We start from the raw sequence: 16,597 nt of genomic DNA, 5'->3' as shown, positions 1-16,597 counted from the left end.
TCTCATCAGATGCCCCCACAGTTCACCCTCTCTCCTCTCCATCTCATCAGACACCCCCACAGTCCACCCTCTCTCCTCTCCATCCCAGAAGACGCCCCTCCAGTTCACCCTCTCTCCTCTCCATCTCATCAGATGCCCCTGACACTTCACCCTCTCTCATCTCCATCTCATCAGATTACCCCTCCAGTTCACCATCTCTCCTCTCCATCTCATCAGATGCCCCCACAGTTCACCCCTCTCTCCTCTCCATCTCATCAGATGCCCCCACAGTTCACCCTCTCTCCTCTCCATCTCATCAGACACCCCCACAGTCCACCCTCTCTCCTCTCCATCCCAGAAGACGCCCCTCCAGTTCACCCTCTCTCCTCTCCATCTCATCAGATGCCCCCAATACTTCACCCTCTCTCATCTCCATCTCATCAGACACCCCTCCAGTTCACCATCTCTCCTCTCCATCTCATCAGATGCCCCCACAGTTCAACCCTCTCTCCTCTCCATCTCATCAGATGCCCCCACAGTTCACCCCTCTCTCCTCTCCATCTCATCAGATGCCCCCACAGTTCACCCCTCTCTCCTCTCCATCTCATCAGACGCCCCCACAGTTCACCCTCTCTCCTCTCCATCTCATCAGACACCCCCACAGTCCACCCTCTCTCCTCTCCATCCCAGAAGATGCCCCTCCAGTTCACCCTCTCTCCTCTCCATCCCATCAGTCGCCCCCACAGTTCACCCTCTCCTCTCCATACCAGCAGACGCCCCCACAGTTCACCCTCTCTCCTCTCCATCTCATCAGACGCCCCCACAGTTCACCCTCTCTCCTCTCCATCCCAGAAGATGCCCCCACAGTTCACCCTTCTCTCCTCTCCATCTCATCAGACGCCCCACAGTTCACCTCTCTCGTCTCTATTCCAGCAGATGCCCCCACAGTTCACCCCTCTCTCCTCTCCATCTCATCAGACAACCCACAGTTCACCCTCTCTCCTCTCCATCCCAGAAGACGCCCCCACAGTTCACTCCTTTCTCCTCTCCATCTCATCAGATGCCCCCACAGTTCACCTCTCTCCTCTCTATTCCAGCAGATGCCCCCATAGTTCACCCCCTCTCCTCTCCATCTCATCAGATGCCCCCACAGTTCACCCTCTCTCCTCTCCATCTCATCAGACACCCCCACAGTTCACCCTCTCTCCTCTCCATCCCAGAAGATGCCCCTCCAGTTCACCCTCTCTCCTCTCCATCTCATCAGACGCCCCCACAGTTCACCCTCTCTCCTCTCCATCTCATCAGACATCCCCACAGTTCACCCTCTCTCCTCTCCGTCTCATCAGACGCCCCCACAGTTCACCCTCTCTCCTCTCCATCTCATCAGACGCCCCCACAGTTCACCCTCTCTCCTCTCCATCCCAGCAGACGCCCCCACAGTTTACCCTCTCTCCTCTCCATCTCATTAGACGCCCCCACAGTTCACCCTGTCTCCTCTCCATCCCAGCAGACGCCCCCACAGTTTACCCTCTCTCCTCTCCATCTCATCAGACGCCCCATAGTTCACCCCGTCTCCTCTCCATCCCAGAAGACGCCCCCACAGTTCACCCTCTCTCCTCTCCATCTCATCAGACGCCCCCACAGTTCACCCTCTCTCCTCTCCATCCCAGAAGATGCCCCCACAGTTCACCCTTCTCTCTCTCCATCTCATCAGATGCCCCCATAGTTCACCCCCTCTCTCCTCTCCGTCCCAGAAGATGCCCCTCCAGTTCACCCCTCTCCCCTCTCCATCTCATCAGACACCCCACAGTTCACTCCTCTCTCCTCTCCATCCCAGAAGACAACCCTCCAGTTCACCCCTTTCTCCTCTCCATCTCATCAGACACCCCACAGTTCACCCCTCTCTCCTCTCCATCTCATCAGACACCCCACAATTCACCCTCTCTCCTCTCCATCTCATCAGATGCCCCCACAGTTCACCCCTCTCTCCTCTCCATCTCATCAGATGCCCCCACAGTTCACCCTCTCTCCTCCCCATCTCATCAGATGCCCGCACAGTTCACCTCTCTCCTCTCCATCCCAGAAGACACCCCTCCAGTTCACCCCTCTCTCTTCTCCATCTCATCAGACACCCCCAGAGTTCACCCTCTCCCCTCTCCATCTCATCAGATGCCCCCACAGTTCACCCTCTCTCCTCTCCATCCCAGAAGATGCCCCCACAGTTCACCCCTTTCTCCTCTCCATCTCATCAGATGTCCCCACAGTTCACCCTCTCTCCTCCCCATCTCATCAGATGCCCCCACAGTTCACCTCTCTCCTCTCCATCCCAGAAGATGCCCCTCCAGTTCACCGCTCTCTCTTCTCCATCTCATCAGACGCCCCACAGTTCACCCCTCTCTCCTCTCCATCTCATCAGACACCCCCACAGTTCACCCTCTCTCCTCTCCATCCCAGAAGACGCCCCTCCAGTTCACCCCTCTCTCTTCTCCATCTCATCAGACATCCCCACAGTTCACCCTCTCTCCTCTCCATCTCATCAGACATCCCCACAGTTCACCCTCTCTCCTCTCCATCTCATCAGACACCCCCGCAGTTCACCCCTCTCCTCTCCATCCCAGAAGATGTCCCTCCAGTTTACCCCTCTCTCCTCTCCATCTCATCAGACACCCCCACAGTTCACCCCTCCCTCCATCCCAGCAGATGTGTCCTCTCTTCATCCTTCTCTCCTCTCCATCCCAGCAGACGCCTCCACAGCCAGCCTCTTGGGCATTACAGCGTCTGCACCTACACTGTGGTGAACATGTGAAATCCAACTGAGCCTTCTCAAAGCTTAGGTGGGAATGGTCAACTCAGAAATCAATTTTAAAACTAAGACAAATGAGGAATTGGATTAGGAGAACATGTTTGGGATATGAATATTCACCTGCTACACGTTAAAAATGCTGATATTTAAATGTGCCTAGATTGAAAGAGCCCCCAGGAGTGAACATTATGAAAGGGCTGTGCGTAATGGAACAGGATGCAGAGACGACATCATGGTGCCAGCCACAGTCATAGGGGGTGCTGGGCGTTCACGTGGGTGAAACCCAAGTCGTTCCCAGCACAGTTAACATGACCCTGGAGGCCAGCAGAATGAAGACGGCACATGGATGTGTATGTGCCTCCCCGGTCTTGTCTTTCCTGTTTAATCTGAGGTCCCTATGATGTGCTTCTGACATCTCCACTGTTAAAATCTTTCAAGAGAATTTTGTCCACACTCACTACAGCTCAGCGTGCCCTTGTTTCCTGGAAACACAGGGTTACAGAGTGACAACTATGGGAATTCTCCCAGTCCTGGCCGTTTTCTTCCTTTCTCTCCTCTCCCCACAGTATCTACCCTGGCCTCCGCCACTGCCCTCCACAGAGCAGTGCCATGGGGTGAAGATCTACCCTGCCCTCCACAGAGCAGTGCCATGGGGTGAAGATCTACCTGCCCTCCACAGAGCAGTGCCATGGGGTGAAGATCTATCCTGCCCTCCGCAGAACAGTGCCACAGGGTGAAGATCTACCCTGCCCTCCACAGAGCAGTGCCATGGGCTGAAGGCCACGGGGCTTGGGGCTGAGCTACCTTCAGCTGAGAGCCTTGGTGGCTTGTGCAGCCTCCAGCACCTCATTTCCCTGAGTCATGTTTCTGTCCATAAAACAGGCATCATGAGAGCTTCCCTGAGTTACAAAGCTGAGCTTCAGCAATGTCATCTAAAATGGAAATAAATGAATTACGTTGGAATCCATAAAACGTGAAGGAATATAAGATAAACTAAGATGCGAATAGGCAACAGCAAAAATGTGTTGATACCTCCTGGTAACATAATATTTTTTTTTTGCAGAAACTTTCATTACATTAACCCCCAAAGAGTGACTCAGAGGAGTTTCGAGGACTTTCAAGTTAGCAGGTCCCTGGCAGGCAGGTCGCTGTCCAGACCCATCACATGGCTGCTTTCTCTGCTTTATTATCTACAACACGGCGTCAGATTTAGGGAAAAAGAATGATTGGGGCACGTATAAATCGAGTTTGGCAGAATGCCTGACATTTGTTGGACTCATCAATGGAGTGATAAATCCTGGATAAATGGAAGAATGGACCCAACTGTTGCACCATCTCTGCTAAGTGGACAATGGCATGGGGGCCATAGGCAGAGTGGATTTGTGTCTGCTGAGTGGGCAGTGGCATGGGGGCCACGGGCAGAGTGGATTTGTGTCTGGTGAGTGGGCAGTGGCATGGGGGCCACGGGCAGAGACGGATTTGTGTCTGCTGAGTGGGCAGTGGCATGGGGGCTGCAGGCAGAGTGGATTTGTGTCTGCTGAGTGGACAGTGGCATGGGGGCCACAGGCAGAGATGGATTTGTGTCTGCTGAGTGGACAGTGGCATGGAGGCCACGGGCAGAGTGGATTTGTGTCTGCTGAGTGGGCAGTGGCATGGGGGCCGCAGGCAGAGATGGATTTGTGTCTGCTGAGTGGACAGTGGCATGGGGGCCATAGGCAGAGACGGATTTGTGTCTGCTGAGTGGACAGTGGCATGGGGGCCACGGGCAGAGACGGATTTGTGTCTGCTGAGTGGACAGTGGCATGGGGGCCACGGGCAGAGCGGAATTGTGTCTGCTGAGTGGGCAGTGGCATGGGGGCCACGGGCAGAGACGGATTTGTGTCTGCTGAGTGGACAGTGGCATGGGGGCCACGGGCAGAGACGGATTTGTGTCTGCTGAGTGAACAGTGGCATGGGGGCCACGGGCAGAGACGGATTTGTGTCTGCTGAGTAGACAGTGGAATGGGGGCCACGGGCAGAGTGGATTTGTGTCTGCTGAGTGGACAGTGGCATGGGGGCCACGGGCAGAGACGGATTTGTGTCTGCTGAGTGGACAGTGGCACGGGGGCCACGGGCAGAGTGGATTTGTGTCTGCTGAGTGGACAATGGCATCGGGGCCACGGGCAGAGTGGATTTGTGTGTGCTGAGTGGACAGTGGCATGGGGGCCACGGGCAGAGTGGATTTGTGTCTGCTGAGTGGACAGTGGCATGGAGGCCACAGGCAAAGACGGATTTGTGTCTGCTGAGTGGACAGTGGCACGGGGGCCATGGGCAGAGTGGATTTGTGTCTACTGAGTGGACAGTGGCATGGGGGCCACAGGCAGAGACAGATTTGTGTCTGCTGAGTGGACAGTGGCATGGGGGCCACGGGCAGAGTGGATTTGTGTCTGCTGAATGGACAGTGGCATGGGGGCCACAGGCAGAGACGGATTTGTGTCTGCTGAGTGGGCAGTGGCATGGGGGCCATGGGCAGAGTGGATTTGTGTTTGCTGAGTGGACAGTGGCATGGGGGTCCACGGGCAGAGTGGATTTGTGTTTAGAACAGGAGTAACGTAGGCAGCACATCTCACCCATTTTCCTCACATCTGATCAGATTTGAGGCCATGGAATGCTTTCTGGTCAGGTGTTAAGGGCTGTTGGTGAGTGAACTCCCAGAGGGTTTCCCACTTGGGCAGGGAAGGGTCTGGCCAGTGTTTAGGTGATGCTGTCAGGGGGCCTCAGGCTCACATCCTTCCGCTGGTTTTTTGAAGAGTTTCAACTACATTGGGTGATGGTGTGAGTTTTGCCAGTGTAAAGTTCTGAGAGTGTCCTTTGAACATTGTTAGTACTGGAGCCTCGTACAGGACTCTGGGCCAGTCCCTGATGTGAAGAAAGGAATGAGACACTGTCTCTGCCACTGAAGAATGAGGTGATAATGATCCTGGGGGACCCGTGGCAGTGATGGTGAATGAGTGGAAGAAGGAACCCGTCAACAGGAAAACGCCGTTCGTAATTCTTAAAACACTTAGTCCCTGCCCATGGTCTAAAAAAGGCTTTGGTTTTTTCATGTTTTGCTTTCAAACATATAGAATTATGCAATGAATCACAAACATTTAAAGTGGGAAGTTAACCAATGGCTGTTTACCTGGGGGTCCAAAACCCCAGGACTGAGGCTGGCCTTGGAGCCCTGGACCCACGAAGCATAGCTTCTGCATGTGTGTGCTTTTCCCCAGAAGACGTTTCAGATAATTCATAATTCTCCTAATGTCTTTAAGTGTGCCAAATAAAAGGTGGGTGAGAGCTGACATCCAGTCCAATCCTTCACTTTCCTGCTGGAGCAGATGGGTCAGACAACTTGGCTCTGCTCCCAGCTCTGTCCAGCTCCCCAACCCCTTCCTGGTAATCATCTTTCCTGGTTATTTCCTGGCTTACAAACACCTGCTCCCCATTTCCTTCCAACAAGTCTAAGAGCTTCCCCAGGGCAACATTTTGGCTTTGTTCTCAGCCACTCGTCCCACAAGCTGGCACTGACCACCCTCTGTGGAGGGAGAGGAGATGGATGGGCCTGGGCTGGGCAGACATGCGGCCCGGTCTCAGGGCATGACTTGTCTGGCATTCCTACACCATAGCTCTTGAATTTAGCTGAACTAGGCAACAATGATAGAGTTCGGATTTGTGAAGTTCTAATTTGTAAGATTTGGTTTCAATTTAAAATTTCACTTTTTCATCTTGTAAGCCAACAGCGATGAATAACTAGATGTATTGGAAGAGGTTATATGGTCACTGGCTCATCACTGGGTGCACTCGGCGTGGATAGAGACAATACAGGGAGGGCCCTGTGGCCCAGGGCTCCCTGTCTGATGTGTGGGTCATAATTAATAACTCTTATGTGGCACTGGCCAAGGCTGAGAAGCAGTTCCGCCCTGCCTATCCACTTGCCCAGGACCTCACAGCCGGCCGCAGAAGGCAGGGGTAGCTTCCAGGCAGTTCTTGGCATTACCACCCAAACTAACTTGTGGGACTCAAGATACACAGCAGCGTGGCTGTTGACAGTAACAGTCATATTTTCATGGTTCATAGGAATTGCTGATTTCCCAAAGAGTTTTATCTGTCTATATTTTCAAAATTAAATTTATTAATAATAAATTTTGGGCAAATATGTAAAGTGTAGGGTATTATATTTATAAAGCTAGTCCATTTCCTCCCTCCTCTACAAAAAAATGTGTTGCCTAGAAATGCACTTACAAAGTTATAGTCAACAACAAAATTCCGTTAACGAGTTTTACTCACAAAGACATTCAAACACACACCCATACGCACACATTCATACAAACAGAGACATGTGCTTGTCCTGAGGATAATCTGAATGATCAGAAAGATACGATGGCTCATGTTGGCTTTATAATTTGACAAGGAAGTTGCCCAAGCACACTTCCTTAATTATTATGTAATTGATAAATAACAAAAGCTCTGGTTGTTCTTTAAAAAAATACTTGAAAATTGACAGCCATGGGTCTAATATTTTCAGCTTGGCAATTTAGTTTAAATGGATGGCACTCAGCTCACGGTGAAGTGGTTTTGGAGAGGGAGCTCGCAGGCAGTGGGAAAGTGCTTGGAGTGGGAAGGCAGCTGGTCTCACTTACGTCTGGTGCTCTCCAAGCGGTCTCTGTCCGATGGACTTCAGCAGCGGCTCTGGTAGGATTGCCGACTTTGGTGATGTCTTGGGGCTGGAGTCTGACTCTCCGCTCTCCTCGTCCCCCATGGCTTTAATGTAACTCCCACTTCTCATTCTCCTGCAGGGAATCTCCTCATCTTTGCCACCGGTGGGGTACCCTCCCCACTCATCCTGAGGTACCTGGGAGCAGACAGACATGAAACACGCATCAACTTTGTCACTGAGAACGGCAGCATCAGCTCCTTTTTGGAAACAAATCCTCTACAATTCCATAAAGATACACCTCTTTACAGTCATTTATCAGTTAAAGTCAGATGTATAAAAATGCATATCCTAAAAGGAAATGAATATAAAAATGTTGGTTTTTCTTCATTATAAGTGATAGGTAAACACTATGGATAAAGTGAGAACATGTGAGAAAAGTAAGAGAAGAAGGGACACTTGCAATCTCAGCAGCTGGGACAAAGCACTGGCTAAAATTTAGTTTTATTTCCCTCTGGTATAAGAGGAAATTGAAAGTTGAGAAACTGAACAGAGAAGAAAAGGAAAAAAAAAAAAGAAAACAAGGGAGAAAATGCCTATCTTATTGTATACTTATATCTTAATTGCAAGCAAATAAAAGAGGACGGTTTTAAATCTAGAAGCCAAGTTCTATCATACATGCAAATTCTCAGTACTCAGAGTTGCAAAAGGATCTTGCCCAGCCACATCACATTCCACCTGACATATCACCAAGCACCTGTGCATGGAATATGTCTGCCTGTTACAGAACTCAGCACCCGCTCATGTTATATATCTGGGTGGTACAGAGCTGATCACCTGTGCGTGTTATACGTCTGCCTCGTACAGAGCTGAGCACCCATGCATGTTATATGTCTGCCTGGTGCAGACCTGAGCAACCATGAATACTATATATCTGTGTGGTATGGAACTCAGCACCCACGCATGTTATATGTCTGCCTGGTGCAGACCTGAGCAACCATGAATGTTACATATCTGTGTGGTATGGAACTCAGCACCTGCCTGTGCATGCAATATATCTGTGTGGTACAGAGCTGACCACCTGTGCTTGTTATATGTCTGCCTGGTACAGAGCTGAGCAACTATGCATGTTATGTGTCTGCCTGGTGCAGACTTGAGCAACCATGAATGTTATATATCTGTGTGGTATAGAACTCAGCACCCGTGCGTATTATATATCCGCATGGTACCAAACTGAGCAACTGTGCATGTTATACATCTGCCTGGCACAGAGGTGAGCACCTATGCCTGTTATATATCTGCCAGGCACAGAACTGGGCCCATGTACTTGCTATATATCTGCCTTGCACAGAGCTGAGAGCCCATACATATAACCCCCCTGTGCTGTGTATCTGACTGTTCGAGAACTGAACCCACGTGCATTTTATATATCACCCATAACGGCCCCACAGGCTGCCTGCTGTGTGTTTGCGTTACGTGTCTCTCTGAGGGGAGGGTAAACCATGAAGATGACAGTGCAGGCCAGTATTCTGTTTCCATCCACCATCTGTGAAACTGGAAACCCAACATAGCCATGAGCAAAAAGTCATGGAACTGGAACACAATGGTTTCCATTGCGGGAGCTGCTCCCTGCAGGTCAGGACCTGGTTTCTTTTCCCCACGGTTCATTAGCTTTGAACAGCTCCCCAGAGGCTCTGGGTAAAGTTCACTCCATAGGTCAAACTCACGTTTACAAAGGCAAAAGAACACAGCATGCAGTCGCTGAGTGTAGAGAACTCCAAAGCTTTCCACAGCAACTAGCTCATCACCCACAGTCTGTAGTCAAGGAACTAACATAGCATGTTTTTCATGTAGGAGAAGAGAATCTCCCCAAATGCTGTTTACAGAGAAAGAAAATAAAAAATTTCCATATTTAAAAGGTCTTCAGACAGGGTATTTTTTTTCCTTGCTGTAAAATACTTAGCTACTGAGGTATACTACTTATATCATCAGAAAAGGAACCTGCCATCTTTCCAGTGTCCATATTGCCTGTGAGCCGATCGACAGCACTACCAGCAGGGATCTGCGTGGCTGGTGGTGAAGGCAGGTCTTCTGGCTGAAGGCCCCTGTATTCATTCCTAAATGCCATGCCACACCAGTGCTCCGGCAGATCTGACATCTTCCACATTGCAGCCCAGGACAGGAGCCAAGGGAGAGGGAGAGGCATGCTCATTTCTGTCACTCACATATCCTGGACTTCCAGCCTGGACGAGCAGGAGCTCCCCTTACCATGGACCCCGTGTGGCAAGGAGTCCTCAACACCACACAGTCCCGCAGCAACGAGGCGCGGACACCCGGACACTGCACGGTCCCCGCAGTAACGAGGCACGGACACCCCAACACCACACAGTCCCCCAGTAACGAGGCGCGGACACCCCAACACCACACAGTCCCCCAGTAACGAGGCGCGGACACCCCAACACCACACAGCCCCCCAGTAACGAGGCGCGGACACCCCAACACCACACAGCCCCCCAGTAATGAGGCGCGGACACCCCAAAACCACACAGCCCCCCAGTAACGAGGCACGGACACCCCAACACCACACAGTCCCCCAGCAACGAGGCGCAGACACCCAACACCACACAGTCCCCCAGTAACGAGGCGCAGACACTCCAACACCAGTCCCCCAGTAACGAGGCGCAGACACCCCAACACCACACAGCCCCCCAGTAACGAGGCGCGGACACCCCAACACCACACAGTCCCCCAGCAATGAGGCGCGGACACCCCAACACCACACAGTCCCCCAGCAACGAGGCGCGGACACCCAACACCACACAGTCCCCCAGTAACGAGGCGCGGACACCCCAAAACCACACAGCCCCCCAGCAACGAGGCGCGGACACCCCAACACCACACAGTCCCCCAGTAACGAGGCGCGGACACCCGGACACTGCACAGTCCCCGCAGTAACGAGGCACGGACACCCCAACACCACACAGTCCCCCAGTAACGAGGCGCGGACACCCCAACACCACACAGCCCCCCAGTAACGAGGCGCGGACACCCCAACACCACACAGCCCCCCAGTAACGAGGCGCGGACACCCAACACCACACAGTCCCCCAGTAACGAGGCGCAGACACCCCAACACCACACAGTCCCCCAGTAACGAGGCGCGGACACCCCAACACCACACAGCCCCCCAGTAATGAGGCGCGGACACCCCAACACCACACAGTCCCCCAGCAACGAGGCGCGGACACCCCAACACCACACAGTCCCCGAGCAACGAGGCGCGGACACCCAACACCACACAGTCCACCAGCAACGAGGCACGGACACCCAACACCACACAGTCCCCCAGTAACGAGGCGCGGACACCCCAACACCACACAGTCCCCCAGTAACGAGGCGCCGACACCCCAACAACACACAGTCCCGCAGCAACGAGGCGCGGACACCCGAACTCCACACAGTCCCCCAGTAACGAGGCGCGGACACCCGAACACCACACAGTCCCCCAGCAACGAGGCGCGGACACCCCAACACCACACAGTCCCCCAGTAACGAGGCGCGGACACCCCAACACCACACAGTCCCCCAGTAACGAGGCGCCGACACCCAACACCACACAGTCCCCCAGTAACGAGGCGCAGACACCCCAACACCACACAGTCCCCCAGTAACGAGGTGCAGACACCCCAACACCACACAGTCCCCCAGTAACGAGGCGCGGACACCCCAACACCACACAGTCCCCCAGTAACGAGGCGCGGACACCCAACACCACACAGTCCCCCAGTAACGAGGCGCGGACACCCCAACACCACACAGTCCCCCAGTAACGAGGCGCGGACACCCAACACCACACAGTCCCCCAGTAACGAGGCGCCGACACCCCAACACCACACAGTCCCGCAGCAACGAGGCGCGGACACCCCAACACCACACAGTCCCGCAGCAACGAGGCGCGGACACCCCAACTCCACACAGTCCCCCAGTAACGAGGCGCGGACACCCAACACCACACAGTCCCCCAGTAACGAGGCGCGGACACCCAACACCACACAGTCCCCCAGTAACGAGGTGCAGACACCCCAACACCACACAGTCCCCCAGTAACGAGGCGCGGACACCCCAACACCACACAGTCCCCCAGAAACGAGGCGCGGACACCCCAACACCACACAGTCCCCCAGTAACGAGGCGCGGACACCCAACACCACAGTCCCGCAGGCCCCTGTGGGTCACGGTGCAGGTGGATCACAGCTGTAGCACCCCCAAGGTGGCCCAGGCACACGGCAGCTCACAGTGACACCCTAGCACCACGCACACTAGAAGATCCAGATGCTGTGATGAGGAGAGGGTTGGACAGGATGGGAAGTTCCAGATTCTCCCTCCACCCAGATTCCAAGAGGCCCAAAGGCTCAGGACAAGGATCCTGAACTGTGACCGTGAGCTGGACAGGCGGTGTCTGTGGTGCTCTCCAGCCGGGTTCTTCTAAAGCCTTTATGACCTGGTGCCTTGTGCCCAGGTCTGCACGTGTTCAAAGAGGAATACAGACCGCGCTGAAAGGGAATTGGAGGTATTGTATGCATCTCTTCTCACACTGCTAATAAAGACATACCCCAGACTGGGCAATTTATAAAGGAAAGAGGTTTAACTGACTCAGTTCCACGTGGCTGGGGAGGCCTCGCAGTCATGGCAGAAGGCGAATGAGGAGCAAAGTCATGTCTTACATGGTGGCAGGCAAGAGAGTGTGTGCAGGGGAACTCCCTTTTAAAAAACCATCAGATCTCATAAGACTTAGTCACCATCATGAAAACAGCACAGGAAAGACCCACCCCATGATTCAGTCACCTCCTACTGGGTCCCTCTCATGACACATGAGGATTATGGGAGCTGCCAGGCAAAACGAGATTTCGGTGGGGACACAAACCATATCGGGTATTAATGACATGGTCAATGTAAATGTCCCACAGATGACACCGCAGAGCTGCAGAGCTGTAGGTCAGGTAAGAGACAGGCCTGGGGCCTCAGCCACAGCAGGTTCTCTCAGCAAGAAATCAGCAGTTAAGAAAACAGGTGTACATTTGCCAATGTTTTGTTCACATTTTGTCCGTGTGAATTTTGGTTTACATTTCCTGACAGTGAGGAAGTTTGAGCACTGGAAAAAGATGACTAAGGAAGAATAAAGAATTCACAACTTTGGGGACTTGACAATTCTTATCTCCGTGTCTTCAGGCCAGGTGGCGGGCAGTGGAGCGCCCGGTCTTTCTGGAGATGACTGGAGGCCTTCGGACTGGTCATGTCCTTAGAGTGGGCAACTTTCCTTCCATGAAGCTTCCCCAAGACAATGCAGCCCAGGGTCAGGGACTGGGGAATTGGTAATCAGGGAAAGAGGAGAAATGACAACAGTACTGTATCATAGGGGATGGCTTACAATATTTATTAAAACCACAGGATGGATACTACCCAGCTACCAAAAATACTATTCCAGAATGTGTATTTAGCGATGAAAAGATGCTCACGAGGGCGAAAAGCACAGGATGGATACTACCCAGCTACCCAAAATACTATTCCAGAATGTGCATTTAGTGATGAAAAGATGCTCATGAGGGGGAAAAGCAATTTTTAAAGCACTTGACATTTTTATGTCTTTTAAAGATGTAACTGTGTTATGTGCAGAAGCAGCCAGAAGATGTGAAACAGGGACCGTCACTAGGAGATGAAGATTACAGGGTTTTCAATGACTTTTCTTTATATTTTTAAATTGTCTACATGAACCCTATATGACTTTTGTAATAAACACCCTTATTTTTAATTTAAGAAAAGCCACAGTTCTCAATGACATTACAATTCGGTACAGGAGATGGACATGAAATGAGTGGTAGCATCATCAGGGTGGAGAAGCCAGTGTGGAGGGGACACGTGTTGAAGGTCACTGTCGGCTGACGGGAGGGGCCAGGATCAGGAAAGGTCCTGGGGTGAGGTCCGGGTTTACTTTTGTCTGAGCTGGACCAGCAGAAGGTGCAGGCAGAGGCGATGGGGCAGAAGGAGGCCCGGCCACCCAGTTCCTGGGCACGGGGGAGCTCACGCTGCCACTCTCCTGGGAATGTGTGAAAAGCTCAGTTCGGGAAGGGAGGCTGAGGCTGGCTGGTGGCAGATGGAAGAGCAGCTCCTCTGCCATCAAAGAAGAGATTCACTTTGGCAGGTTTATGGGATTTTTTTTGTGAATTAAAAACATGTTTCCATAAAAAACAAAGTAAAGATTTTTTTCTTCAGCAGCCTGCAAATTAACTAACAAATGAGACCAGCTTGTATGTTTCTGTTTCTGATTTAAGAAGCCAATTTCGCAGGCTTTGACAGAAGAAATTTCAATACAGAAAGAATGTCAACCAGAGTCAATTTCAAAGCATGAATTCAAGTACCAAATCCCCATTCCAAAGCATATGTCTGGAGACTATCAAAAGAACAGAAGAGCAATACTAAAATGCCAGCCTGCCTCAGCAAACAAATCTCTCTCCGTTATGTTACAGCATTCGAACCCTGCAGCCCTCAGCCCAGGGTGGCCTAGTGCACGCTCTGAAACCAAAATGGCTTTATGGCCTTCAGTGAAGGAATGAATAAATTTCTTTCCACGACGGCTACCAGACTCTGCAAATCCAGTTTGCAGTCCCTGCTGCATTTAACGCCAATCAATTACCCTAATTACCTCCTTGTACCTAGTGATGGGTGATGTTCATAATTTCTAACAAAAAGGCATTTTCATAAGGGTGACATAAGCATACATTTTGACGTCTCCTGTTACTTGCTTTAGGGATAGTTCAACACTGCACAAACTGGAATATCTTTTCTTTCTTCCAAGCTGCAAAGCCCAGGTGAAAGGGGCCAGGATTATATCATCATATTCTCTTGGAGGCACTGGAACCGAGGAAAAACATTATCGTCCATTGCTGTGCGTTCCCACAGGGAAATGTCTTCTGCATTCCTTTAAGCCGTGTGTGTGTGTGTGTAAAGTACGTATATGTGTATGTGTGTGTGCAGGTATATGGGTGTGCATGCATGCCCATGTGCGTATGTGTGTTTATGTGTGTATGTGTAATGTGCGTATATGTGTATGTGTGCAGTTATATGGGTGTGCATGCATGCCTATGTGTGTATGTGTGGGTATGTGTAATGTGTGTATACGTGTATGTGTGCAGGTATACGGGTGTGCATGCATGCCTATGTGCATATGTGTGTTTATGTATGTGTAATGTGCACATATGTGTATGTGTGTGTGCAGGCATATGGGTGTGCATGCATGCCTATGTGTGTATGTGTGTGTATGTGTAATGTGCATATATGTGTATGTGTGCAGGTATATGGGTGTGCATGCATGCCTATGTGTGTATGTGTGTGCATGTTTGTATGTGTCTCCCTCCTTCCCAGAGACTGTGGCAAAGGCTCCTGCCCACGCTTCCCTCTTCTCCTGCCTCCTGACCCATAGGTGTGTCCCCCAGGCCTGCGGTGTGGCCTCACTCTCTTCTGGGGCTGTGAGTTGTGAACTGTCTTTCCTATGGCCATCTCCAAACCTGTGGGCCACACTACAGCTGAGTGTACAAAACCCCCATCTAAGCCGCCTGCGACTGGGCACACGTGACTGGGCCCTTTGGCCCCGTCCAGCTCCTATCGCCCTCATGCTTGGAATGGGAGCCACGGGCTCATGGACACCAGGAGGCCACCAACAGAGGCGCTGCATGCCTGGCATAACCCCACCCACATGGGAGCCCCCAGGATGCGTGGATGCCACACTCACCCCTCGAGGACCAAGGTGCCTGCTCCAACCTGCCAGGAGGTGCCAGCCAATGGCTGAGTCTCTCCAGGGCATGCCCTCAGCCATTCAGCGGGAGAAAGCTGCCTTCCCCACACCCCTCCTTGGGAAGGACACACAAGTTATGGCCTGAATTGTGTTCCTCCAAATTCCTATGTTGAACCCTAACCCTTGGGACCTCAGAATGTGATTATTTGGAGATGGGACGTTTACAGAGGTGAAGAAGGTAAAATGAGGTCACCAGGGTGGGCACTGATCCTGTCTGCCTGGTATCCTCCTAAGAAGGGGAGATGAGGTCACAGACAGACAGAGAGGGGGCAACCCTATGAGGACATGGGGAGAGGACGGCGTCTGCGTGCCCAGGAGAGGCTCAGCAGGAGCTGGCCTTGGGACTCCACGGTCTTGGGCACCAGCCACCAGGACCCTGCGGAATGAATGTGCCTTTACACGCCCCCCGGGTGTGTATGCCCGTCATGGCACCCGAGCTGACTCACGCACCACCCAGGCTGGCGGCATGAAGGCAGGACGGCCACTCCTTGCCTCGGTGCGGAGACCCCTGAGTTCACACAGCACCTGAGTTCTCTCAGAATCGGCCGAGACCTGTCCCCGCTGCTCACCCCTGCCCTCTGCCCCATCCTGTGTCCTCACCCCTCAGCCACCATCTCCTTGTTGAGAGGACACCCGTGGCCATCGGCACGTCCATCTCACCAGGGGCTCTTTCCGGGACCCTGAGGGAGGTCAGGCAGGCACAGTTATAGCCATTTATTTCCATGGAAAGCCCCTATTGTGAGCCCCCCGGCTGCACAGCTTGTGAGAAGGTTCCACGCGTCTGTCTTGTTCTAAAGCTCACGCTCTTTGGATGACACCAGCAGTTCCCAACCAGGTAATTCTGCCCCCAGGGGACATTTGGTGACATCTGGAGATATGTTTGGTTGTCACTAAATGGGGGTGCTTCCGGCAGGTAGTAGGTGGAGCCCAGAAATGCTGCTCAACATCCCCCAGTGCATAAGACGTACCCCACAAGCGTCTCCCAGCCCCCACCCCCGTGCTGAGCTTGAGAAACGCTGGGTGCATGGCTGTGCTCAACATCCCCCATTCCATAAGACCGACCCCACAAGCATCTCCCAGCCCCCATCCCGCTGTGCTGAGCTTGAGAAATGCTGGGTGCATGGCTGCTGCCTCCCGGGATGTACATCTCAGCTGAAGAGATCTTCGCGATGCTGCTCAAATCCACCCTGGTGTCCCTACAACAATTTAGCTTGGGTGGGAAGTCTTTCCTTTCCTGTTTGTTTGTTGTGGTTTTTCCTCTGAGCCACTGAAACCAAGTCAGAGTTAGGTT

At 52.4% G+C, this 16,597-nt stretch overlaps 1 protein-coding gene and 1 long non-coding RNA gene across 2 annotated transcripts in view; one reads left to right on the top strand and one right to left on the bottom strand.

Annotated features, from left to right (window-relative positions):
* Positions 1 to 7,829, top strand: part of DLGAP2-AS1 (DLGAP2 antisense RNA 1) — a 56,156-nt gene extending 48,327 nt beyond the window's left edge. The window contains exon 4 of the long non-coding RNA NR_103863.1: positions 7,600 to 7,829. This is a non-coding gene — a long non-coding RNA (DLGAP2 antisense RNA 1). The remainder of the gene's footprint in view (positions 1 to 7,599) is intronic.
* DLGAP2 (DLG associated protein 2) overlaps positions 1 to 16,597 on the bottom strand; it is a 970,849-nt gene that overhangs the window by 135,139 nt on the left and 819,113 nt on the right. Inside the window, exon 6 of the mRNA NM_001346810.2 lies at positions 7,444 to 7,655. Coding sequence (NP_001333739.1) covers positions 7,444 to 7,655 — 212 coding nt within the window. The remainder of the gene's footprint in view (positions 1 to 7,443; positions 7,656 to 16,597) is intronic.

Source organism: Homo sapiens, chromosome 8, assembly GCF_000001405.40.
Source record: "Homo sapiens chromosome 8, GRCh38.p14 Primary Assembly".
NCBI lineage: Eukaryota > Metazoa > Chordata > Mammalia > Primates > Hominidae > Homo > Homo sapiens.
This window is presented reverse-complemented; position numbering and strand designations above follow the sequence as displayed.